General features: G+C 32.6%; 1 long non-coding RNA gene across 4 annotated transcripts in view; it reads left to right on the top strand.

Annotated features, from left to right (window-relative positions):
* Positions 1-3,076: 3,076 nt before the first annotated feature.
* Positions 3,077-26,367, top strand: part of LOC107986306 (uncharacterized) — a 201,750-nt gene continuing 178,459 nt past the window's right edge. For 3 of the 4 annotated variants that reach the window (XR_001741800.2, XR_001741798.2, XR_001741796.2), the window contains exons 1-2: positions 3,077-3,116; positions 6,098-6,146. This is a non-coding gene — a long non-coding RNA (uncharacterized LOC107986306). The remainder of the gene's footprint in view (positions 3,117-6,097; positions 6,147-26,367) is intronic. The other variant, XR_001741797.2, reaches the window with a different exon arrangement.

Genomic DNA, 26,367 nt, shown 5'->3' with positions numbered 1-26,367 from the left:
TACCAGAGAAAATCAGGAGAAGCTACACTTAAAAAGTACTTTTCTGGTATGAAAACACACATTAACAACTAGCTTCAAAAAATACCCCTGAAGAAAGGCTGAATGTAATTGACTCATTGTGAATCAATTAATGTCCCAGGTCATTGTCTCAGACATTTGTGCAAGAAACCTCAGCTAGAGAAGCCTAAAAGCTGAGTATAATGCTAACAAAGGCAAAAAATGAACAGAAAGATCAAAGAAAAGCTTAGATAAAACCACCGTTCTCTCAAAGGACTGTGTACAAACCTAGTTAGTGCACCCTGAGGAATGGCATCATAGGCTTCACATATATAAGAATTGCATCTTAGAAAAATACTCGAACTAAGTCACTAAGCAAATAAATGAGTAAACAACCCAAAAGCAATTCCTCAGTTTGGGCCAGTGACCAGAGATGCTGCAATATATTAGAGTTTCCAATTTTAAAAAAACTTTATACGACATTTAATAAAGCAAGAAAGTGAGACTAAATGCAGGCAGAAAGACAGGCAACAGAAATCTCCTGTGAGAGGGTCTAGATATCAGATTTAACAGGAAAAATGAACTAAAGGAAATTATGCTTTAACAAGTAAAAGAAGATTCCATGGTGATGTCTCATGAAATAGAAATACCAATAGAGAGAAATAAATTATATAAAAGAATCAAATGAAATTTCAGTAGTTGAAATGTAAAATAGTTGAAGTCAAAATTGAACTGGAGGAAGAAATAATCAGTACACTTGATGATAGATCAATAAAAATTATGCAATCAGAAGAACTGAAATAGAAGTTAAAGAAATAAACATACTCTCAACGAAATACGGGATACTCTTGCATGTATCAACATGCACATAATGAGACTACCAGAAGAGGGGAAAGAGATCTTTAAATTTATATGTAAATAATTCTTAGAATGTATTCTAAGAATTAATTGCTTAAAATATCACTAATTTGATAAAAACATCAACCTCACATGAAGAGATTCAATAAACTACAAGCAAGAAAAAATACAAAGAGATCCACACCCAGACACATTAAGACAAAAATGTTGAAAGAAAAAGAGGAAGAGGAAATTTTGAAAGCTGTGAGAGACAAACAACTCATGTACAGGGTAACTCCAATAATATTTTCAGCTGACTTACCAGAAACAATGCAAACCAGAAGGTAAGGATACTACATATTCAAATTGCTGAAAGAACCCTTAAATCCAGAAGAGCAATAATAAATTTCATTATCTTGCTTATAAAGAAAACAAAATAAGCATATACATTTAGATTTCAAGTCATATGAATAATTCAGTGTTCACAGAAAAAAAAATTTCTATATTTTTAGCTTCTTCCTAATGAGCATGTAAACCACACTGTCACCTAAAATAGAAAAGGTAAAGGACCTGAACAATGAAACATGTTTTATGAACACTTTTAATTGGTAATGCCTGTCTATGGAGAAGTAAAATGGTTTGTAATAAGACATAATGTCGTTTTCAGAAAAGACATCACAGACAGTTTCCTGACAAAAAGACTGAGATTTAATCACCCAAAGCTGCTTTTGCAGCTACTGCCAAAGCATGTTAGCACTGCCATCAGGGAGCAGGATGCCTGTCAAGACTGCAGTAAAGCAAACGGAATTGCTGCCAATGCACTGCCTGCGGACAACAGATGATCTTCATACACCATTTATTTTATTTCTGCACATTTTCATCTTATGTTGTGTTATCTATAGAACATATTGAGCCTGTACATCACTACAAAAGGACTTCTAGTGAAAGAAAAAGATTGTTATTAAGTTAGGAAAACAAAAAAGAAAATGCTTTCTCAGAGTTAATTGAATTTTTTGTCCAAATCTTGCTGCTGAACAAAGCAGATATTTATTTTTATCATAATATCAAAAGATACTAAGCTTTAGACAGACAAAAAATGTTTTTAATTGAAAACAGGAAGGTGATAATAATATGTTTCCAGGGTCTACATTCAATCCTATATGGTTTCTCAACTTCTAATGCATAAACTTCATATTTAATAAACATTTGTTATTTTCATTTTATTAGATAAATTTATGGATGATGGTGTGTTCCAATGCTTCTTCATGCTCTGACAATGTGATGCTAGAGACAGAGTTGACAAAAAAAGACAAAAGAGGGTATTTTTTCTCAGTATTAGAAAAATGGCTGTTAATATTTAGGGTTTTCTAAGGAATTTACCTGAATATTTCATTGTGCCAAAAGGAATGAAACTATGTGAAATTTTTTGGCTATTCAAGCAATCACTGTGGAAGTTACCTTTTCATCCATTATTTTTAAAATATCAATTATAATAATAGTCACCTAGTGTTAGCAGTGACAATGTATTTATTATAATAGGCACTTTTATATGCTATCTTTCTTAATTCTATAGTGATCATAATAAGTACATATTATTATTTTATTTTCTATATTAAGAAACTCAGACTCAGAAAAATAAGTAATTTATTCAAGGTCACATTCAATTTATTCAAAGCCACACAGCCAGTAAGAAACTGAGCCAAGATTTATACACAGATCTCTTCATTTTTAAGCTCTTAGGTTTTCCTTTATACACTTCATTTTCTCCTAATTCCTATGGCAGAGCCTGCCTCTTTTTGGCTGTGATAATTTTCCAACAGTTTTAAAATAAAATGAATAACTTCATGGGATCTGTACATTATATACACCAAGTTTTAACTCACATTTTTTTGTGTGTGTGCCAAGAAGCCACTGAAGTAGGTTGAGGGGAAAATAAACATTGAAAAACCTATGTAGTTAATGAAGAAAGCACCAAGAGGTTATTCTTAATGTTTGCTTAGCCTCTTGTACTCTGACTTAGTATTGTGAGTACTAAACCTTAGCCATAGTATTAAACCTCCTACTATTTTTTTTTCATAGTTCCAGAAAAAACTATTATTTGCGTTCCTATTTAATAGTTCCTAAGAATCTGGGCGTTGCCAGATCATCTTTGAGACAATTCTGATTGGCCCCACTAAGAGCAAGCCGCTGTGTAAAAATAGCAACTGCTGGGAGATATTCCCAAGACAAAGTCAAAGCTGCCAATCAACTCCAGCCCTGGGCATCCACTCCACTTCCACAAGGTGAGCTGTCACAGATTATTTACAAAAATGAGTCTGGAAAAGTCTCTTTCTTTGCCGTATTTCTTTCCATTTATTCCTTCTTTATCTTTACCTTTACCTTATTTAATTTCATAATGATTTTTCGTTCTATTTAAGTTTTCTTTCTCTTCTTTCCTCTGTTGGTTTTCTAATGCCCTTTATTCCTTTTCCTATTCAAAATAGTCTAGATCTAAAGACAAGTAGTCCAGGGAATGGTCAGATAAAAAAGAATTTTCCATAAATTCTATTGTGAGATACTAATTTTAAAATATTAATCTAGCTAGACCAGGAAAAAAAATAATCCAAACAGCAACATTTCTACATGCATAGAATGTAGAATATTAGTGTTATACTTTTATTTAAAGCATATGTGTTATGACTGAATCATTATATTTATCAATAATGGTTTTCAAGGAAATCATACACCAAAATAGCATAGAATCCTTGCTTGAAGTTTTACTTGAAGTGTAACAGAGTGTTTGATGAGACAATAATTGTAATATTTTCCAGCAGATGGAAAAAATCATTATATAACTGATCTTCAGAGACCACAATGTAAAAGTGTGCACTGTTCTTTTATTTGTCAAATATGCACCACACCATTCCAGCAACTGAAATTAGGTAATTGGTTTGCAACCTCAGAAAATTAGAACCTAGCAAATATATCCATTCATAGACTAAATAAAGTGGTCATGAAAGATACTGACTGAATCATATTATAGCTTAATCCATTCACATAACTATTTTGGAAGCCTGTTGGAATTAATGTTAAAGGTGACTTAAATTTTCCAAAGAACATTTGATATCCAGTGGTGGTAGTGCTGTATTTTAGAAAGAATATGGTTTTTTTAAAGCCCAACTTGTTTGGATTTAAATCCAGACTTCAGCATTTCCATCCTGTAGAAATCAGGCAATATTTTTTTAAAAACTTCTCTAAGCCTTAATACTTTTCTCTGTAAAATGTAGAAAGCAAAAATTAAAGAAAATTCGACTTAGCATTTTCCATACATATGGAATCATATGTATGGCTTCCACATGGTATGTGCTTCTCATATATTACTTTCTTGCTGCTTTCAATTGACATCTTCATACAAATAAATACTTATTGATATAACATACTATACAAACATAACAATTCGTAAGAACTAATTACTAAAATCTATGTGCAATTATATAAAATGTTATTATATAACAAGCATAAGAGCATATTTCTTACTATATATATATATATATATATATATATAAAATCTAAGAATTATCTGAGATAAATTCTATAAAACTTGCTAATATGTTACACCTTACTCTAATAATCACACATACACTCAAGGTTATACTAATTTACCTAGCAGAACCCACCAAAAGAAAAATAAACAAATCTAAGTATGATAGTCAGAATTAAGGTTCCCAAAGATGTTCACATGTCAATCTGTAGAATCTGCAGAAATGCTATTCTACATGGTGAAAGGTACTTTGAATATTTGATTAAATTAAGGATCACAAGATTAGGAGATTATCTTTGATTAGGAATCAACCTAATGAAATAGGTCCTTAAAAGTGAAGAACCTTTCAAAAATATTTTCAGAGACAGAGACAAATCTGGGCCAGAGAGCTTCCCCTAGGCAGTATCTTCACCTCATGAATGTATTGATTGTACCTAACTGCTGCTGTTTCCAAAAATTGGAATTCCAAAGTCCTTCATCTCAGCACTATTGTAAAATCAATATTAAACCATTGGTTTTTTAAAAAGATCTAATTTTTGTGTGTTCCAATCTAATATATTTAAGTTTATACACAAATGTTTTATTACCATCTTTTGTTGTATATAGTAATACTTTCAGCCATTCTCATACAATAGTGTCTCATATTCTTTCTCTTCTTTCTCATGTATTATCAGGGCTCCTATCATTTGCAAAATTTGTTTCATTAGGTTTTACTGATGTTGTGTACTTTGTGCTATTTTTTAACCATTTGCCTCAAGTCAGTTACATAGCAGCCAAACAACAGTATAAATTTCCAGGTAGAGACTCATAGCTGCATAAAATAGAGCTGTTTGAGATTATTTTAAAGTAAGTAGAAATTTTAATTGTACTTCTTTCTAATTACAGTAAGAAAACATCACTTAGACACATATCTTCCCTTCATCTTCATAATCACAGGGTAAAATCCAGCAGCCGGTCATATCTTTCTGATTGTTCTCAGCTCACTGGCCTAGAATAGGGAGAGGTGGGGCCTGTGGAAAAATTCTGTAACCTTCACAGGAAAAGTACAGGAACAACAGTAGTTTCACCTGAAAACTTGTAAACCCAACTGATTTAGCAAGTTTTACATGACCCCGGATTAAAATAAGATAAAGCAGGAGAAAAGAATACACTGTCTATTTTCATTGTTTCTCTATCAACCACACGATGAACAGAAATTGTAAAAGTTGATCATCTGCAAAGTTGTTCCCTTTCACTGAAGTATGAGCCCAGCTCTACAGGATATTGTGTTCTGAGCCACTGGTTCCAAAATGTTTGAAATTAAAGGAGATGTAGTAAAAGGCACAAGCCTTCGCATATGGGCACAACCTGTGAGTTTTGACAGCTTTGCCCTTGCCAAGAGCCACCCTCAAGTGGCTGGCAATGCTTAAGTAAGCGCAGTCTAAGAACATCTGTAACTTCCATCTTAATGCTGCCTATGACAGAGTCAAACAAAGTTGCATTTATAAGAACCATGTCGAAAAACAAGAGAGCTGGCTTTTAAAATTCAAAGCATGGACAAGTCCAAAGTTGAATTAAAATAACACTAGCTCGAATTAGTTGTTTCATTTTCTTTTCCATTCATAATGACAGAATCATGTGGATTCATAGCCATGTGGAATGCATACCTCAGAACAATTTTGTCAACATTTAGAATTCATTCTGTCATTTAATAAAAATTTGTAAAGTGTGTCATGAAATAAAGCATACTGTTTTATGTTGTAGGACGCTATGCTGGTGAAGTTCTCTGTGGAATGGAAGACTGAACTAGCTAGTGAGTTTATAGATTAATCATTATTATTTCCGTAAAACATAATCTGAGTATGGCTAAGGTAAAACTATAGTGACAGCAGTATTAGTAGTATCAGTAATGGTAATAATAACAGTAACAACTCTGATTGCTATCATTCAATAAGCAACCATCATAATCCAAGCATTGGGATACTATACATATGTGTGTGTGTGTGTGTGTGTGTGTGCGTGCACAACACATGTATGTGTCTCCAGCTCTTAAAGCTTTGAGTACAATCAATGTCACTTCACAGTAGTACCCCAAATCCCATATTGCCAAGATTATCATCCAGACCAGTTTCTCATGGTTTTATCCTCTAATATGGTACAGGATATCGCCTGACATTTCATCAGGTATGCACGTAAGTCCTTTTTATCCTCTTACCTCCCCAAGGAAACAGGAACTCACAAAATCCCAGAATGTTTATCACTCAGATATTGGAGGACACAGAACCAACTGATGGATAGTACACTTTTACCTCCCACAAAAAAGAGGCAGGAATTAGCAAGTTTGCGAACATTTTGGCAGGAACTCACAGGTGTCTCAAGGAGGGGATTGTGCCAAGGTAGGCCTTAAAATACGGCAGCCCTGTGGGTAAATAACACTCGGTTTCATTGACATGGTTTGGATTTCTGTCCCCACCCAAATCTCATGTTGAGTTGTAATCCCCAGGGTTGGAGGTGGGGCCTGATGGGAGGTGATTGGACCAAAAGGGGAGAGTTCTCCTGAATGGTTTATCATCATCCATTCTGTGCTGTTCTTATGATAGTGAGTGAGTGAGTTATCACATGATCTGGTGGTTTTAAAGTATGTAGCAGTTCTCCTCCTCCTGCTCTAGCCATGTGAAGATGCTGCTCCCACTTTGCCTTCTGCCATGATTGTAAGTTTCCTGAGGCTTCCCCAGATGTAGAAGCCACTATGCTTCCTGTACAGCCTGCAGAATTATGAGTCAATTAAATTTATTTTCTTTATGAGTTACCCAGTCTCAAGTATTTCTGTATAGCAGTGTGAGAATGAACTAATACACTTGTCCAGCTACATGCTGTGACAATCCCTCAGAGATGAGCTTCAATGGGATAATTCTTTTCTTTATTGATCCTGGTGCCTGATTAATACAAAGGTCAGAATCTCAGGGTTAACTCTGTTGTCTCCACATCCTCTGGTCTCCAAATATGGTTGTCATCACTAAATCCTGGGCACATATCCTAGCTGTAAGGGGAGGGAGATGGAGGGGATATTAATTAAGTGTCTTGTATATACAGTAAGAGAAAACAAAAGAGATCTTCAGATGAGTTTAATGCTAAGTCTCATAAATCAACTGTGTCTCTGGTATGTCAAGTGTACTACAATGCAATTTCTTTATTTTGGAAACTAAAAAATATGCTATGTTAAAAATTTTATTTAGTCAATTTAAAATAGTATACATAATAACAATCAAAATCTGATACCGAAGAAATAGGTATCAAATAGGCATGATAACAAACTGAAACAAAATATATACTGATTTCTAATATGAATCATACATTATTAATAACCCAGTACTTTCAGATGTTCTTGGAAATTTCGTAGCATGTATCTTTCAAATAATTTTCAGTCAGTCATTGTGATATCAGGCCTGGACAGGCTAAAGAGAGGCAGAGTCGATTGTCACTTGGTACTTACACTTTGAAAAGTGTCACAAAAAGCATATCAACTTTAGCCCCATCTAGAAATATCTTGCTCATTAAGCCACACTCTATTGTTGCCAGAGCCAGAAATTTAACTCAGATTGAGTAGGAAGTTTGTCACAGTAATTGGGAAATCCAGGGTTGCACTGGGGATAGCAATGTAACAATATCCAGCTTCAGAAAAAGGTCACTGGATTTCTCTTTCTCTCTCTCATTCTCACAAATGTGCACATACCCACATACCTTAATGCCTTAGAAATGTTTCTGCTGTACTCTTCTTTTTTCTATTATCCTGCGGACAAGCTTCCTTGACACAGCCAGGAAAGGTGGTTCAGGCAGTTTCAGAATCACATCCTTCCAAGGTTATAAATCACTTTGAAAAAAATAATCTTTTAAATGTCTGTTCTAATTTCTTACAAGATGCTGAATTTAAACAGGCTCCCTCCCACATGGTCAGCCACTGAAGAAATTCTAGAGAACAAATTTTAAAAAGCTGTAAGGCTACCCTAAGTTAAAATGGCTCTTTGAATTTTTGCATGTTTGACTATGTGGGTTACTACAGTCTGCAGCAGCGTGTTTCTTAAAACAATAATAATAAGGCAGTTGGAAAGCTGCTCTTAGTTTTCTTGGTTTTTGCCTTAGGATAGGCAGTACCTGACCGTACTAGGGTTTGGTGCCAACACTCAGGCTGCTGTATAGGGCATTTAGGAGAGAATATAATGAGAAAAGCAGAGAAACCTTGGTTCAAAGAGGTTTAAGGTAGACCTTTTTCAGACAGACCTCCTCCTATCCTTACTCTCCACCCATAAAAGAGGATGGATGATTTTAATAAAAGGTGGCCTTCTTTTCAGTGTTGTTTCTCCCTAACTATTCTAGATATTTTGGGTTTTTTTGTAAAATTTGTAATTAACTTATCAATTTCTACAAAAAGCCTAACTAGGATTTTGATTGGAATTACATTAATTTTATAGATCAATTTAAAAGGAATAGCAATGGACAATAGTGGGTTCTCAGACCCTTCAATAAGGTATATCTCTTTCTTTAGGTTTTTAGTTTTTCTCAGAAATGTTTTATAGTTTTTAGTGTACAGTTCTTGGGCAATTTGTCAGATTTTGTTTTATCTTAGTCTGTTTGCGTTGCTATAAAAGAACAGCTCATGCTGGATAATTCATAAAAGAAATTTATTTGGCTTATGATCCTGATGCCTGGAAAGTTTGAGTTTGGGCCTGTGCATCTGGCAAGGACCTCAGGCTGCTTCTACTTATAATGAAAGGTGAATGGGACTCAGCATGTGCAGAGATCTCATGGTGACAGTGAAAGCAAGAGAGAGAGAGTGAGAGGGGGAGGTACCAGGCTATTTTTAATAACTAGCTCTCACAGGAAGTAACAGAATGGGAACTCACTTACATCTGAGGGGAAACATTAATCTGTTCATAAGGATCCATCCCCATGACCCAAACACCTCCCACGAAGACCCGCCTCCAACACTGGGGATTAAATTTTGACATGAGGTTTGGAGGGGACAAATGTCTAAACCAGAGTAGTATTTCCCATTTTATAGTTGTTTTAGATGGGACTACATTTTATGTTTTAAATTTTTGATCATTTGTGTCTACTATACATAAATTCAAAGGAATTTTACATATTGATCTTGTATCCTGCAAACTGTTAACACTCACTTGCTAGTTGTACTAAGTTTCTGTAGATTCCAACAAGTTTTCTATGTAATCATGGTCTACAAATAAAGACATATGTGATTTTATTTTTCTTTTCAATTTGAAGGACTTTTAATTCTTCTTCTTGCCTTTTGCACTGGCTAGAAACAAAAGAATGATGTTAAACAGAACTGTGTAAAGGAGATATCTTTGACTTGTTTCTCATTTTAGGGGAAATCATTCATTTTTTCACCATTTTGAGTGACGGCATTTATTGGTGTTGTAGATTTACATTTATCATGTTTAGGAATTTCCTTTCTATTACTAGATTTCAGAGAATTTTTTCTTTTGAAATGAATGCAGGATTTTGTTGAATAATTTATTTGAAGTTTTTGAGATGAGAGGTTTTTTTGCTTAAGTTTGTTCATATGATGAAGTATACTGATTCATTTAGGAATATAAAACCATTTGCATGGTAAAATATGTTTTTACATATTGGTAGGTTTCTTCCTTTCATTCTGTGTTTCTTTCTGGTACAATTATCAGTTTGATATTGAATTTTTTGTATCAATATTCTAATTAATATTCTTACTATTTTCTGGTAGTTTAAATATGCTTTTGTTTCTTATTCTTTGGGAGAATGTTCCTTCAATGTAGCTTCCAAACATAAAATTGGGTAATTTTGTTAATCTAGCTATTTTCTTTTCAACTTCTAAGAAATCTTTCATTATTACCCTCGAGAGATCGGTATATTATCTTTTAAAGTTTTTTTCTGTTTTCTGCGTTGTCTCTACTTTCTCTGTGTTTGTATTTTACTTGTTTGGTTGATTTTCTCACAGTATTTCATAGTGGAGAGTTTCTCAAGTGTTTGAAAATTATTTTCTGCCTATTTGAATTTAATAATGAGGTAATGATAAGTTGGATGTTTTGTGTGCATTGGTGAATCTTGGACTGGTTTACTTGACCAGGAATGCAGGCATGATGCTGAGATACCAGTAAATATCTGTAACTATATATATTTCCTCCTGAGTTGTTCAATTATTTCAGGAAAAAAAATCTTCAATTTTATGGTAAAAAGTAAATTCCTGTCAACAGCAATCTTTGGGCCAAATGGTACAAGCAGGAGGACACATTAGCAAAGAGTCTCATTATTCAATATGTAAACTCATATAGTCATCCTGTTGTGACAAGTCCCCATAATTTATATTTTTCTGTGCTTTGTTTTCCCTGAACTGCAGCATCTCTCACTCAATATCTCAGAAAATAAACTTTTATACTCCTGCCAAGATTACGGAGGAATATATGCCTAGATTGATAGAATATGGGGAGAGACCACTGTGCCTAACTGATTTGTCATTCTTGAGCTTTGGAATCATTCCGTTTGCAGCCCTCACCTTTTACCTTCGGGAAATTTTATTAAAATTATTACAACTACCTTTTGTAACTAAAGCAATGATGTCGAAATTATGGATGGCAATTATGTTTTTTACTTACGTTATTCTGTGACTGATGGTAGAAGTTGTATTTGTGATTAATAGTCATCTATTGGGATTTTTTTCCTTTTCCATATAGTCATTAACTCTTTACTTCCAATGGCATTTCACAATTTTCCCTGGAGACTTCTTTGTTGCCAGTGTAGATAACATATATGTTTTCAGGTTTAGTAATCTCAGGAATTTAACCTTCATATCTATCCCTCTGAACTGATAGTTTATTTTATTTCTTGCTAGTTCCAGAGAATCGATCAAAGACAGGACAACTTTTCATTGTATAAATCCAGAGAAATGATCAAACACAGGACGTTTCATTGTATAAATCTAGTAAAATAATAAAGTCATATCAGGCTTTACATATCACAAAACATTTTAATGACATTTTCATATAATCACCATAATAAACCCTGTAATATTATAAGTAAAATTTTAGATATTTTTGTCATTTTTCTAGATGCAACATAAAGAGTCTTTAATGACCCCAAAAGCATTAAATGGCAACACTAGAATTCAGAAAGTATTTTTTATTTCATGCTGCCTTATCTACTAGAAAAACTCTAAAAGATAAGTACATATTCTTATAAGCAGTTAGGTCTAGTGGTTTATGAAAATGCCCTCCTTAGTAGAAGTATGTGCTAAAATGTGCTGTGTCTAGTATCCCACAATGGGTTGTAAGCAGGATACATATTTTATGCTGTCATCTCTAAAATAAGACTTATCTCACAATTTTTAAAACCTTTTATTTCTCTGACTGGTCTGCAAACACCAGACCTCTGAGTTTCATTTTTCTCCTTTGGAACTTATCTTAGCATGGAATGGACACTAATTCCTTTGTGACACAGGACACCTCACTAGACCCAGGAATTGTTTGAATACCTCTCCTGGCACAGGTGATCTTCTATTCCTGCATTTATAAATAATCTGTCAGATAATATTAATTCTTTCCCAGATTTATTCCAATAGGCTTTAGGTTCACATAGAGAATATCCTGGGACTGTTCACATTTAAATGGCAGAAGTGCCATCTTCATTTCAAGTAGGTGTGACATCTGCCCTCACAAATACAGCTTTCATTACTTGCAGTTATGAGTCATTTGAGAATAATTTTCTCCTCAGAAACTTGTTTTTTATAATAAAGCAATGTGTATTGACCCATATTTTACTGAAGCAAGCAATCATTTTAAAATGCACGAATCCACCTCGTGACCTGTGTAAATAGTTCACATTAACTGAGAGCCTTGAACAAATTATGTCTCTTTTCAGTCATATTTTCCATAATTAAATGGTGTCTAGTTGATAAAATTATAAAGTATAATTTAAATTTTATTTTCTGAAATCAACTTTTGAAAAATATGTGTAAAAAATTTGTAAAAGTTGAAAGTAAAAAGTCACTTAGATGTAAAATGCATTTATTGTTATACATACCTGAAAATCCAGAAATATGACTGATTCCAGACAAAGCTTGATACAGTGGCACCAATAAAGTCATTAAAACTTAACATTTTTACAGATCTCCACTATCTCTTCTGAAATGAAAGTGTGACCCTTAAGTTCAAAATGAATAAAAAGTCTCTGGTCTCTATGCTCGTGACCTAGTAAAAGTTTACTTTCATCTCCTGAGATGTGACCGAGTTACATGCTCTAGTGACAAATCCTTGAATTTATCCTTACCACCAGTAGCTTAAGCCATCCCTAAAGTCAAATCCTACTTACTTGAAGAGCACTTTCAAACTGCGAATTGTATCTTATTAGTCAGTTGTAGAATCAATATGTACATTTCTAATTTTCAAAAGAATATACTAGAATAGAATTTAAAAATCACAGTACATCACACTTGATAGCAGTAGCTATTTTATAACGCACTGTTGTAATGTATGTGTATGTGAATGTATATATGTAAATGTCAAGAAAGTTTGAAAGTATGCCTGAGTAAAAGAAAGATCAGTGTGCTTTGCAATAGCCCAAACAACCACATATCCACTATATATTTCTTTATCACCACCTGTTCTAAAATCTTCACTAAAGGAAATGAAGTGACAGTTTGACAAATATTCACTCTTTTAAATTAAGAATTTTACCATTATTTTAAAACAAATTACTCTGAAAGAAATTCAACACTTTCCTCTGTGTTAAATAAGATGCTATGTATAATACATCTAGCATACTATTTGGGTAAGCAATAAACCTAAAGAACGAGGCAGAAACACCGGAATCCTCAAGGGCATGGCAGTTCTTAGGACAAGACAAAAATCTAATTATCTGCCTTGGGCTAGAGCCAGCCTGACAGAAAGAACATCTGTGTAATGAACTAAGTGCATGATTTATCTCAGAACTTCAGGCATTGCTCAACCTAAATGCAGAGGTTTAAAGGGGCTACCTATATGGATTGGGCATCTAGGAGCAGGAATTAAGGGACGTTGTTATATCACATAAATCAATAGAACATGCAGATCTTGACTTGTATTTCAATTTGTGAGAGAAGTGGAGTCTTGTGTTTTAAAAATGCCTGTAAGGTTTAATAAAATATGTATTTTTTCTGTTTTGAATTCCACTCAGTTACAATATGATCTAAAATTTATTCACCAAGAAACTTAACCAAGCAGAGTAGAACATTCCCATAAAAACATCAACTGAGCCCCAGAGCATTTGTGTGTTTATCACATGTGTGTAATACAGTTCACATTGATTCAGAGCTTGTCATCACATATGTTTAATAAAACAAGAAAAATTATAAAATTCAAAAATAATGTGGGTAAATAACACTTCCAAGGAAGCAATTCTGGTGCACTTGGGATGCCAAGAGACATAGAAACTTGCCATATTTATTGCCATGGGTTGGTTGAAATCATAAGGACTATTTCCAGGTTTAACATTCTCTTATAAAACATTCTATTATAAGCAGTTGTTTTAAAAATGTATTTTTTAATATCAAAAGGTTATGAAAATATAAACACCAAGAAAATCAAATATTAATATAGAGAAAAGGGGTGACTTAGGGTGGGAGTACTTTACATGCATTTTAGAGTAAAGGCTTATTTTGAATTTAGTCTTGGAGAATGAGATTTGTGTGTGAGGATATAATATCTTATTATTTCTAACTGGATGTGAAGAAAATGTAAAAATTGTTCTATTCAGATTATATTGGTCCAAAACTGTGTAGTCCCTTGAACATAGCCAACTACTATTTTCATGCCATGTTGGACAGGGGAAGAGAAGAAAGACTCAGTGGATAGTCAAGAGAACTCAGATTAAGGTGTTCATTTTACTGTGTATTCTTCTTATGATAATTATTTGGTACATGTGGAAATGTAGTATCAATGAATACTCCATTGAGTTAACTGGCATGCTTAGAAATGCTAACAAGAGGGTTATGAAGAAAAAGATGACTTTAAGGAGGTCAGAATACAAGCAATGTTTTAGAGTTAAGTTGGAGGTTATGACCAATGACATGGGTATAAATAAAATTGTATATCATTTATTACTTTTATAACTGTAAACTATCAGAAATCAAATTCTGGAATTCTGTTATTTAAAATAGACATTTGATAAGTAAACTAAGCAGCACATAACAACCTCCGTGTAAATAACTGTCCTCAAATGTCAATGCCATTTAGGATATAGAAAGGTGGATAAGTTTTCACTCCTCTGTGATTTCTGCTTTTAAGACAATAATTTACTTTAATGCTGGCAGAATGCTTCATACTCAAATGATTATTTTGTCCTTATGAGAAAGTTTAGCAGATTCCATTTAAGAGAACATTAGAATTTTCAGATTCCAGAATTATGACAATATTCAGAGACTAAAATAGTCTCTAACTTCTGTAGCTTCAAATGTCCTGAAATATTAATAGACATTTTTATTATGTCCATGAAACAATTAAAATTGATTGCTTTGAAAAATTGGGCCTAATAAATGATTTTTTTTTAAATGCGTGTGTGTGTGTGTGTGTGTGTGTGTAAGAGAGAAAAAGAGGTTGTGCTAGAGAATGATCCATGAGTCCTCTGTGCTTTTTCCAGTTCCATGACTTACCACCTGCAGTCTAAGACTCCTTGTTTTATTTTATAGGAATTATGTATTTTCTAAAATAAAAGGATTAGAACTAGAGCCGGAATTCACAAACTAGCTGACAGCAAATATGATCTGTGGATAACTTTTGCTCGACTTACAGGGTTATTTGTTTTACACAAATTTGAAATGTTTAAAAAAAATCAGGAGACTTCACATAACAGGGTCGATATCTTGCCTTTTGAACATGTTGACTCTGCTTTTGCACAGCAGTCAGCAAGAGTAGAGTCACTGCTCCTCTCTTTGGTCTTCTGATGTTGGGTGACACATTGTAAATGGAACCTAAAGAGATGTATCTATCCGTTTTACTGCCCTGGCTTATGTAAACATTTGCATATACCATCCCTTGACCAAGGTGATACTAAATCCCCTAAATTTTCTAAGCATTCTGACTGTATACTGTAAAAAGAATGGAACATGTTTAAATATCCAAGTTTATATATGTGTTGATTTATATGATTCTACTAATCATATTATTCGTTTCATTGTATATATTTTCTTTTTATTGTTATACTTTAAGTTTTAGGGTACATGTGCGCAATGCGCAGGTTAGTTACATATGTATACATGTGCCAAGCTGGTGCGCTTATTCAAGAATATAGCTTTCCTCTGCTTAACACTCTAGGTGTAAGCTACCTGTGTGATTATGTATTGTGTTTCTATTGTAAAAAGATAACTCATTTGAAAACGTGAGTGTATATGTACATAGATATATAATCAATAGAAATGTTTTATCAGATAGCTAAATGAAATGACCAACATATGCCTTTACAGTAAATTTATATCACAAAAATAATCCAATGATTAAGCTGCTATATAAACAGTAGATGTTTATTACTATTTTCTGTAATAGTAATATAAAATGAACAAGATACAAAAGAGTAAAATGAGGAAAAAATATTTTAATGAAGTATTTAAATAAGCTATTAAATAAAATATGATCTTACTAGTTACTAAAATCCAATGTACATATAAAAACATTTAGATATTTTAAAACCTTGTAATTTTTAAAATTTGACACCATTTTTTAACTCTTATGTGTTTGTGTGTGTGTGTTTCTAGGACATGTACATTCACATTAGGACTCATACATGTTTGAAATTATAATTTATATAAAATTTTTTTCACTTTTTGCCATTTAACATTACATATAAATGCACTTAAACAGCATAAAACATCCATCAAATAACTGTTCTTAAAGCTACCTAATTATTCTCATGAGAATTATGTAAACTTTACTCCATTTTTTATTATAATTATTATTGCATTAGACTTCTTTATACTTACAGCTTTTATTTTTAAATTTCTTCTTTTGAAATACTTCCACAGGTATTCCCAAGAGTGAAATTAGTGAGTCAAAGGGCATAAGCTTTGCTGTAGTTTATGATATACATTGCCATGCGGCTTTCCAGAAAGAACATGCTAATTAACACTGCTACAATTTAATGTACCAATATTGTTAGAACCCTACCTGCATTTGCATATTGTAAGTTTAAATTTCAAGCTAATTTGAAAACAAATAAAATTATGTAATAATTGTTTAAATATGCATTTATCTTAATATAGTAATGCTCCACATTTTAACACAGACTTCTTGTATTTAAAAAAAAGTAGGATGATAAATTCTACATTCCTAGATACAAAGTATATGTGAGAAATCCTGTAAACAAGTCATATATATACAGCAATGTTGAAGGAAGAGAGTGGGTGACATAAAACTTAATTCAGATTATCCTAACATAAAATTGCTATTAACATAATTATTTCTCATAAAATCATCCACCCACAAAGAATTGCTTTCCTAAGTATTTTTCTTATAATAAACTCTAATATTCTGAGATCTCTAACAATCAAATAACTCTTTGCTGCACAGCACTTTCAATTGCTTCTGAAATAACATGTTATTTTATCAACTTAAATCATAGAAAACAAGTTGCTTTTATAGTTTTGCCCATGATGCGTCAAAAATCAAACTCATTGCTTAGGTCAGTGGAAAACTAGAAATGTTAACATTGCCAACTTTACAAAAAAAAATTAAGCATTCATGTTAAGAAAGCTCTTTGAAACAAAATATTGTGTAAAATATAATCCTTGTTTACAGTGATATTGTATATATATACACACATATATATGTAAACAATTATAAATGGGTATATGTGTATGTGTATGTGTATATATACATGCACACATATATACATATATATACATGCACACATATACATATATATAATAACAATTTAGAATGGTTTATATATAATGTGCATATATATTCCAAATGGTTTATATATATATATATATATATATATATATATATATATGTATATATATGTACACACACACACACTCAAGAGCTCTCTCATGGAAATATACAAGAAGATTAATGTTGTTTTCTTGCCTGCCAGCACAACATGCATTCTGCCATTCTGCAACCTATGGATCCAGGAGGATAAGACTAATTATTAAGACTTGACTTTCAAGTCTTATTTAGTAAATATATTTTGTAGGGCTACATCTACCTTGTTTATAATGATACAGTATGTATATGTGTGTGCCTCTGTGTGTGTGTGTGTGTGTGTATATATACATATATATGTGTGTGTATATATATATACCCACATATCAACCATTCTAATCTATGCAGGCATATCTCATTTATTTTGTTTCACTTTATTGCACTTTACAAATGTTGTGTGGTTTTAACCAATTGAAGGTTTGTAGCAACCCTGTGTTGGGCAAGACTATTGGTGCCATTTTTCCAACATGTTTACTTCATGTCTCTGTGTCACATTTTAGTAATTCTTGCAATGTTGTACATTTTTAATTATAATTATATATGTTATGGTAACTGTAATCAGAAAATTTGATGTTACTATAGTAATTGTTTTGAAGCATTACAACTGTTCCCATATAAGACAGGGAAATTAGGAAATGTTGTGTGTGATCTGACTTCTCCACCGATGGGCCTCATCTCTCTCTCTCTCTTGCTGTCTCTCTCTCTCTCTCTTTCTCTTTGAGCCTCCCTATTCCCTGAGACACAACAATATTGAAATGTGCCCACTTAATAACCCTGCGATTTTTTCTAAGTGTTCAAATGAAAGAAAGAGTCATATGTCTCTCACTAAATCAAAAGCTAGACATGATTATGCTTAGTGAGGAAGGCATGTCGAAAGCTGAGGCAGATTGACAGGTAAGCATCTTGCACCAAGCAGTTCAGCCAAGTTGTGAATGTAAAACAAAAGTCCTTGAAGGAAATTAAAAGTGCTACTCTACTGAACACACAAAGGACAAAAAAGCCAATCAGCCTTACTGCTTACAGGGAGAAGTTGAGCGGTCTGGATAGAAGATCAAACTAGCCACAACATTCCCTTAAGCCAAAGCCTAATTCAGAGCAAGGCTCTAATTGTCATCAGTTCTATGAAGATTTCGGTGAAGAAGCCAAAGAAGAAAAATTTGCAACTAGCAGAATTTAGTTCATGAAGTTTAAGGGAAGAAGCCCCTCCATAACACAGGTAAAACAGCAAGGACTGATGTAGAAGCTGCAGCAAGTTACCTGGAAGAGCTAGCTAAGATAATTAATGATGGTGGCTGCAATAAACAACAGATTTCCAATGTAGGTGAAACAGTCTTTTATTGGAAGAAGATGTTATCCAAAACTCATAGCAAAAAATAAAAAGTCAATGTGTTCAAAGCTTCCAAGAACAGGCCATCTTTCTTGTTAGGAGTCAATGCTAATGCCTTTAAGTTAAAGCCAGTGCTTACTTACCATTCCAAAAATCTTAGCACCCTTAAGTGTTTGGCTAAATCTACTCTGCCTGTGCTCTGCAAATGAAACAATAAGCCTAAATGACAACACATCTGTTTTGAATGGTTTACTGAATATTTTTAAGCCCACTGTTGAGATATACTGTTTAGGAAAAAGAAGAATTCATTTCAAAATACTACTTCTCAGTATCGAAGAATCTTATCACCCAAGAGCTCTTATGGAGATATACAAGATTAGTGTTGTCTTCATGCCTGTTAATGCAACATCCATTCTGGATCCTTTGGATCAAGAAGTAAGTTTGACTTTCAAGTCTGAATATTTGGTGAATACATTTTGTAAGGCTATAACTGCCAGAGATGATGATTCCTCTGATGGACTGGGTAAAGTAAATTGAAAACCTGAAAAGGATTCACCATTCTAGATGCCATTAGCAACATTTCTGATTCATGAAAGGAAGTCAGTTTGGAGGAAGTTGATTCTAATGCTCATGGATGACTCTGAAAGGTCCAAGAGTTTAGTGGAGGAAGTCACTGTAGATGTGGTAAAAATAGCAAGAGAACTAGAATTACAAGCAAAGTCTGAAGATGTGACCTAATTGCTTCAAAGCCGCAATAAAGCTTTCATGTATGAGGATTTGCTTCTTATGGAGGAGCAAGGGAAGTTGTTTCTTAAGATGAAATCTACTCCTGTTGAAGATACCACGATCATTGTTGAAATGACAACAAAGCATTTCCATGAACGTGACTTATAAAGCATGGGCAGTGTTTGAGCCAATGGACTCCAATTTTGAAAGAAAGTTTTTATGTGTGTAAAATGTTAGCAAGCAGCATCACATACTACAGAGAAAATTTCTGTGAAAGGAAAAGTCTATTGATGCAGCTAACTTCATTTTGCATTGATGCAAAAATCCTCAACAAAATACTGGCAAACCAAATCCAGCAGCATATCAAAAAGCTAATCCACCACAATCAGGTAGGCTTTATCCCTGGGGCAAGGTTGGCTCAACATATGCAAATTAATAAATGTGATTCATCACATAAACAACTAAAAACAAAAACTACATGATTGTCTCAACAGATACAGGCTCTCCATATTGAAAATAAAGATAATATTTGACTAGCCAGATTTTGGTTTATTGAATTCCATCTTTTTCCACCTAAAATATTGGAGCTCTTATAAAAGTTAAGCTCAGTCCATTGATCTTGCAATTCTATAGTTTCTTTTATTTTTATTGAAAATCTTCACCTTTACTTTATAGAATTATGTTAAGTAGGTATATAATACTGTAAAGTAAAATCTGTGGTTACCAAATATACTGATAATTATATTGTTGCATATTTATAATGCAATTTTTAGTTTTAAGTTTATTATCAAAAGATTTTTCTTTTCATGCAAATATGACCAAAAGTGTATTTTTCTAACAATGGACTACAAACCTTTTAAGCTTGGGGGAAAAATATGACTTACAATATGGAAATATTTCTTCCTATTTGACCTTTTAGCACATTAACAGAATTGAAAGTAAACATCAAAAGGCTTAATGCAAGACACATGAAATTATGCATTTGTCAAACCACACAGAACAATACAATACAGAGTAAATGCTAAAGTTCATTATAGACTACAGTTAATAAAAACTTTTCTGTATTTGCTCATCAGTTGCAGCAAAATAAACCGTACTTACACAAGATGTTAATAATAGGGAAAACTGTGAGCCAGAAACTGAGCCAGTACAAGAGAACTTTCAGTTCTATCTACATAATTTTATGTAAACACAAAACTACTCTAAACAATAAAGTCTATTAATATTTTAACAAATATCAAGGTGCCTTTTGCTGCTAATTCAGTATTGTAGATAAAAGTGAAGAAATGTAAGGCAAGAAAAAAAAGGAGGCCTAAAAAGCTGTAAGGTTGTAAATCATAATACTTTATTGGGTGACATACTGAGGTGAGTTTGTTCATTAAACCAAAATATACAATGCATCTATGAAGCTAAATGACAAATAATTATTTTATTCATTAATGTATCACTCTATTCACCACAATTATTGCTCTTTTAATGCATTTTCTTTTCAAAAGTGCTTAATACTTAATAAAAATTTATTATAAATCAATCATATGCACAGACAAAAAGTAACACAAAATAAGAATTAGAAAATGTCAGCATTTTGCAAAAATCTTAAAAGTGTTTTCTGCTAAAACTGGAAAAATTTTAGCAGAAATTTTATCAGTAATATAACAAAAAGCCTAAAGCATGTAGCTCCTGGGCCCTGTTCCCAGTCAAATTCCACCCGAAGTTTCTTTCAGGGATTCTGAGATGATTAATCAAAATACACAGATCAGAGAGTGAATAAAAAGTAACAGTATGTTAAAACACATTTTCAGTGGATCAAGCGCTAAAAATCAATGAAGACTGACTCTGAGGAAAAAATATAGATCTTTGAATTGCACTAAAATTCTTTTTCACCTAGTAAGAAACAGAATATATTCAAGGATGCTTAAGTTACTGTATGTCTGCTTCAACTATATCATACATGTTTACGATGAAGTACCTTGGACAGTGTTATGGTAATGAAAGTAAATATTGCCGTAGGTATATAAATAAAATAAATATTCCCTTGTTAAAGATGCAGACTTCACCTGTACTAACGTACTATGGGGAACAAGTTCCAAATGGCTAGGTAAATTACAAAAAGCAAAGTTATAACAAGAAAATGCACTAAAAATTCCAATGTTAGAATATCAGTTGGCTAAGTAACATAATAAAACAAAGTTATTTCAGTCTTTTGCTAAGTTTACTCCATTAATCTTCTACTCAGAAAATGTAACAGAACTGATCAATTCACTCAGAAACATTTACGATCTCTTCATACCATACACTATCAACAGATTGTCCATTAATTGCCTCTAGTCACTAACAATCTATTTTAAACATAATTTCAATGTCTATTACTGAATCACTGAATTCTCTTTTATGTTATTCTACTGTATTTCTCTTTTTGGGTCAATATATTTCTTGAAGATGTATGTCAAAGCTACTTTGAGAAAATTTTGAAAAAAAATCTATGGTAGAAAACACATGTTGATCAGTATCGTGTGTCCAATAAAGAGGTCACATAGATAGACACCCTTAAAAAGAACAATCAGAAAAATTACCACAACTCTATTTTTTTTATCTTTCATGGGTTCTGAAAAATATGCAGCATTTTTGTCTACATACTTCCAGCGCTTATTCTGTTAAAAAATTATCCTCCCATCTGTGTATCTTTTCTTTTCTCACTGTGATAATTGAGTATTTTAAAGTATTTGTTTTATGCTCTAGTTCAGCAGTGATAATGCACACTCTCAAAAATTCTATGTATATATTCTATTCAGGTTGAAAGCATTTGTTATTTTAACTAAGCATTTTAGAAAACAATTGAGATCAGTTTTCTCTGAATTAGAAGCTATGAACTGAAGCTGGGATCTTATATAAACTGAGATTTTTGTTCCAGCTCCTACAGGTGAAAAAATGTCATAATAGTGACAATAACAATTTTGGAAAAGAAATGTTAGTTTAAAGCCAGTGCTTTTAAGAGATGGCCTCTTTACTCCCAAATGAAATTATGCTCAAAATGAGTTTGATGTTCCTTCCTACTTCTATATAAATGTCTTTTCCTGGGGGATGGGAGGCTGCGGGAGGGATAGCATTAGGAGAAATACCTAGTGTAAATGACGAGTTGATGGGTGCAGCAAACCAACATGGCACATGTATAACTATGTGACAAACCTGCACGTTGTGCACATATACCCTAGAACTTAAAGTATAATTAAAATATTTTTAAAAACTGCGAAAAAAAGTCTTTTCCTATATGTCCCTGTTTTATCATTAACTTCTTCCCTTTAATCCTACTTTTGATACAGTTTTTAAACTTATCTCACCAGTGTAAAGATTTGAATATGTGGGGCACAGTGTGTGCAGAAGGCAATCCAGCGTCCTCAGGTGTCCCAGATGTTAAACCACCTCAGATTGCCCCACAAATAATTATTGACTTTATTCTACATCCAATTTTCTTTCTCTGAATTAAAAAAAATACAGCTTTCAATTGTGTTTACTTCATGTGTGCAGAGAAATTAATCATCTTTACTGCACGTTTAAAGTACACACACATTCATTGATAATAAATAATATTAAATTTTAAACTCGAGTTAAAATTATGCTCGGAGGCATTTTGTAAGAATCTGCTCCTCTTATGGAAAGTTGTGGAGAACCTTGATCTCTAAACACAGAGGTGACGATCCATCAGCATCTCTGCTTTTAATGCGTCATGAAATAATTTTATTATTTTTTCTGCTTAAAAAAATAACATTGAGGGCTCTTCGGTCATTCTAAGTTAATGATTAGTGTTCTTTCTTGTTTCTGAAATCTTACTAAAATACAACCCATCTCTGGAATCATAATAGGATTTGATTGCAATGCTTTTATTATGATGTTGTGAGCTTTATCTCTGATTACTCTTTCTTCTAAGGATAACATAACTGTAAATGTTATATATCATATTGAAACAGCTTTACTCTACAAATTTAAAGCTAGAAAAAAAGGAAATCCCGGGATTTTAAATTCTTCCTAAATTTTAGATAAAAATAATAGTGCAACTAAATTTCCAAATTGGATTAGGGGAAAATTTCTTCAAATAAAATAGACTGTTAAAAGACATATAGTTTATTTTTTCTTCTTCTTTTTTTCTTTTGATAGAGTCTATGGTTATCTTTGCATAAAAAACTATTGTCCCTAACATTAAGATATATAAGAACCATTGGATTCAGTGGAACTGAAAAAATATTTAGGTCCTTAAAGACTTTTTCCTTGATACTTTATAATAGTGCTTCCAAACGGGGCACTTTTTCCACTCAAGAAACATTTATCAATGTCTGGAGATTTTTTGGTTGTCACAACTGGAGGATGGAATTACAGGCACATAGTTGGTAGAAGCCAGGAATGCTACCAAACATCCAACAAACCCCTTAAACTAAATAATATGACCCCAAATATCCATAATGCAAGGTTCAGAAGCTGTTTTTAAGACAAAAATTAAAGCTTAAATGGAAATAATAGAAGTTCTTAAAACTTGTCTTGGATACTTGACAAAATATAGGTCCTCGTATCACTATCGAATATTCTGAATTATAGGTTGGTTTGGAAATCCAGTATATACATTTTATGAATTCCAAATGATTTTTAACTCAGAGGCATATTTGAGGAACAGGGACTTAGAGAGGAACCCAATATCCCTTATTCTAAAAAAAAGTCTTAAGCCTTTTTCACTTCATTGTAAGATGAAATAAATATGATGATACTCTGGTATTGGTTAAATTAATTGTAAATTGATTCAGAGGAATCAGTGAGTTCTTGATTGTAGATTATTGATATCAGCTACTAGAAATATCAGCCTTTGTTTCTGAGAGTACTTGACTCCATCTTTTTCACTACCCAGCATTCATTCTGGTTATTCCTATATTATTGTGATACTGGTTTCAGAGAAAGATGGCTAAGGTCTGATCAATGAATTCTGGTCAAAGATGTAGCTGGAGACCCAAAACATGATGCTTGGTCTGGAGCAGAGAATTACAAGGAACATCTCTTGCATGACGTGTGGCAGCATTTGCTTTGCCATCATGAAAGGAGCTCGAGTAAAAGATAGAATACTGCTTCTTCCTAATTTTAAAATATGGACTTATTCTTAAAATGGCAAATTGTTGAGATGTCTTATCTCATATAGAATCTTAGAGAATAAAATGTTTCAAAATGGGTTCCAGAGTTTCTTTATTGAGATAATAAATGATTCACCAATGAAAGGGAAAAAAACATAATTGAGGCTTTTTATGTACACCAGCTTTTTATTTTACCACCTGTAAGCAAAACATCCTGTTATCTCTCCTTCAAGCAAAAATAATATATTCTAAAATTTTGTCAAATACAAATAACATATTTATTATTTATATTTGTTTCTTTTCAGAAAGAAAAAAAGTGAGAGCTTACAAAAATTTTTGTTGTGCTACTGGAAGACAGTTATCTGTTTTTAGAAATTTAAATGATCACAGAGATTTTATTATTAGAATATCTGAGATAGTTATTATAATACCGTTTCACCTCAATGAAAGTAACTTCCCAGCAGTAGAATTATCAAAAAAGGAATAAGAATTTTACATAAAAAGACTGGAGTTGAGGGTTTTCTCCACCACTGAGTTACAGATTGAACAAGTCAGTATATCTCCTAAGCCCCTAAGGGTGTCACCCATAAAAGGAGGTGTATAATAGTGCAAACAAAACTCTTAGAGGTTAATGAGATAATAGTTAAATATTTTGCAAATTAAATAATCTTGTTAATTTTTCTATTTTAGTTTTCACATTAGAAAATTTGAATTAGTTCCAAATAAAATGTATTAATGTAAAGTCAGCAAATAAAAACATTTTGCAACTATTTAATTAAGTACTGTGTATGTGCATTTTGGATCCTTGTTCCTATGGTCTTATAATATCAAATAGCAGGTATACATGATATGAAAATTTCCAAAAAGGAGCATGTCAGTTTCATTCTTTTTACTTTTTGTGAAGTACTTCTTAAAGATAAGAACTTCTGATTACATATCGATATTTTCACCTTGAATTCAAGAGTGATGTTTTATAGAAATACAAGCTCCATAAAAATGTCTTTTTTTATTTCACAATGTAGTGCTCATGTTTTCATTATTTTTTTTTTATTTCCTGAAGAAAAACGCTACAATCATATGGACAGGATTGCTTCAATTAAGAATAACGTATATTAAAGACAAAAGCAATCAGCCATACCGCTTTATTATAAATTTTTATCAGATACATTTTTAAATAATTCTGAAACAGGTTTGCATTTCTTTCTTTTATATATTCTTTTTGAGTCCTATCTCCATGGATAAAATAGAATTATAAATTTTACATTGAAAATTATGTTTTTAATCAGTGAAAAATACTGACTATAATAAGTTTTAAGCTGTTCAGTAGCCTGTGTTCACCCACTAACTGTCTAACAAAACATATAATAAATCTATACACATGCAGGCCAGTAAATAACCTATGAAGTAGAAAAGTACATTTGCTAGTTGATGTTCTCTTATTTTAGGGACATCAAAAATTTAAGGAAATAGCTGGTATGTTATGCCCTGTGAGAAGTGTAGACCACTAATTCTCAAACCTGGCTTCTCATTAAAATCATCAGGAAAGTTAAAAAAAAATGCTGATGTCTAAGTTTCATCCCAGAAATTCTAATTTAATTGGTGTGGAAAATGACCTTGGCAGCAGGCTATTTAAAATATCCCTTGGTAATTCTACTGCGTCACAACATTTGAGAACCACTGGTATAGACAGAACAGTGAGTAGAAGGAGTGGAACAGCAATCACAGAGGTCTAGTTTTATCTAGGGGGCAGTCTCTAGAGAAGCTGAGAGTTGAAAGAACTGTGAAGCAATTAGATTTCATGTGAGTTTCAATTAGATACCTATGAAAATATGATTTAGCAAATATTCAACTTTTAAAATGCTTAAGCTA

This window comes from Homo sapiens, chromosome 4 (genome assembly GCF_000001405.40).
Source record: "Homo sapiens chromosome 4, GRCh38.p14 Primary Assembly".
Taxonomy (NCBI): Eukaryota; Metazoa; Chordata; class Mammalia; order Primates; family Hominidae; genus Homo; species Homo sapiens.
The sequence above is the reverse complement of the archived record's forward strand: the minus strand, read 5'-3'. Positions and strand labels throughout refer to the sequence as shown.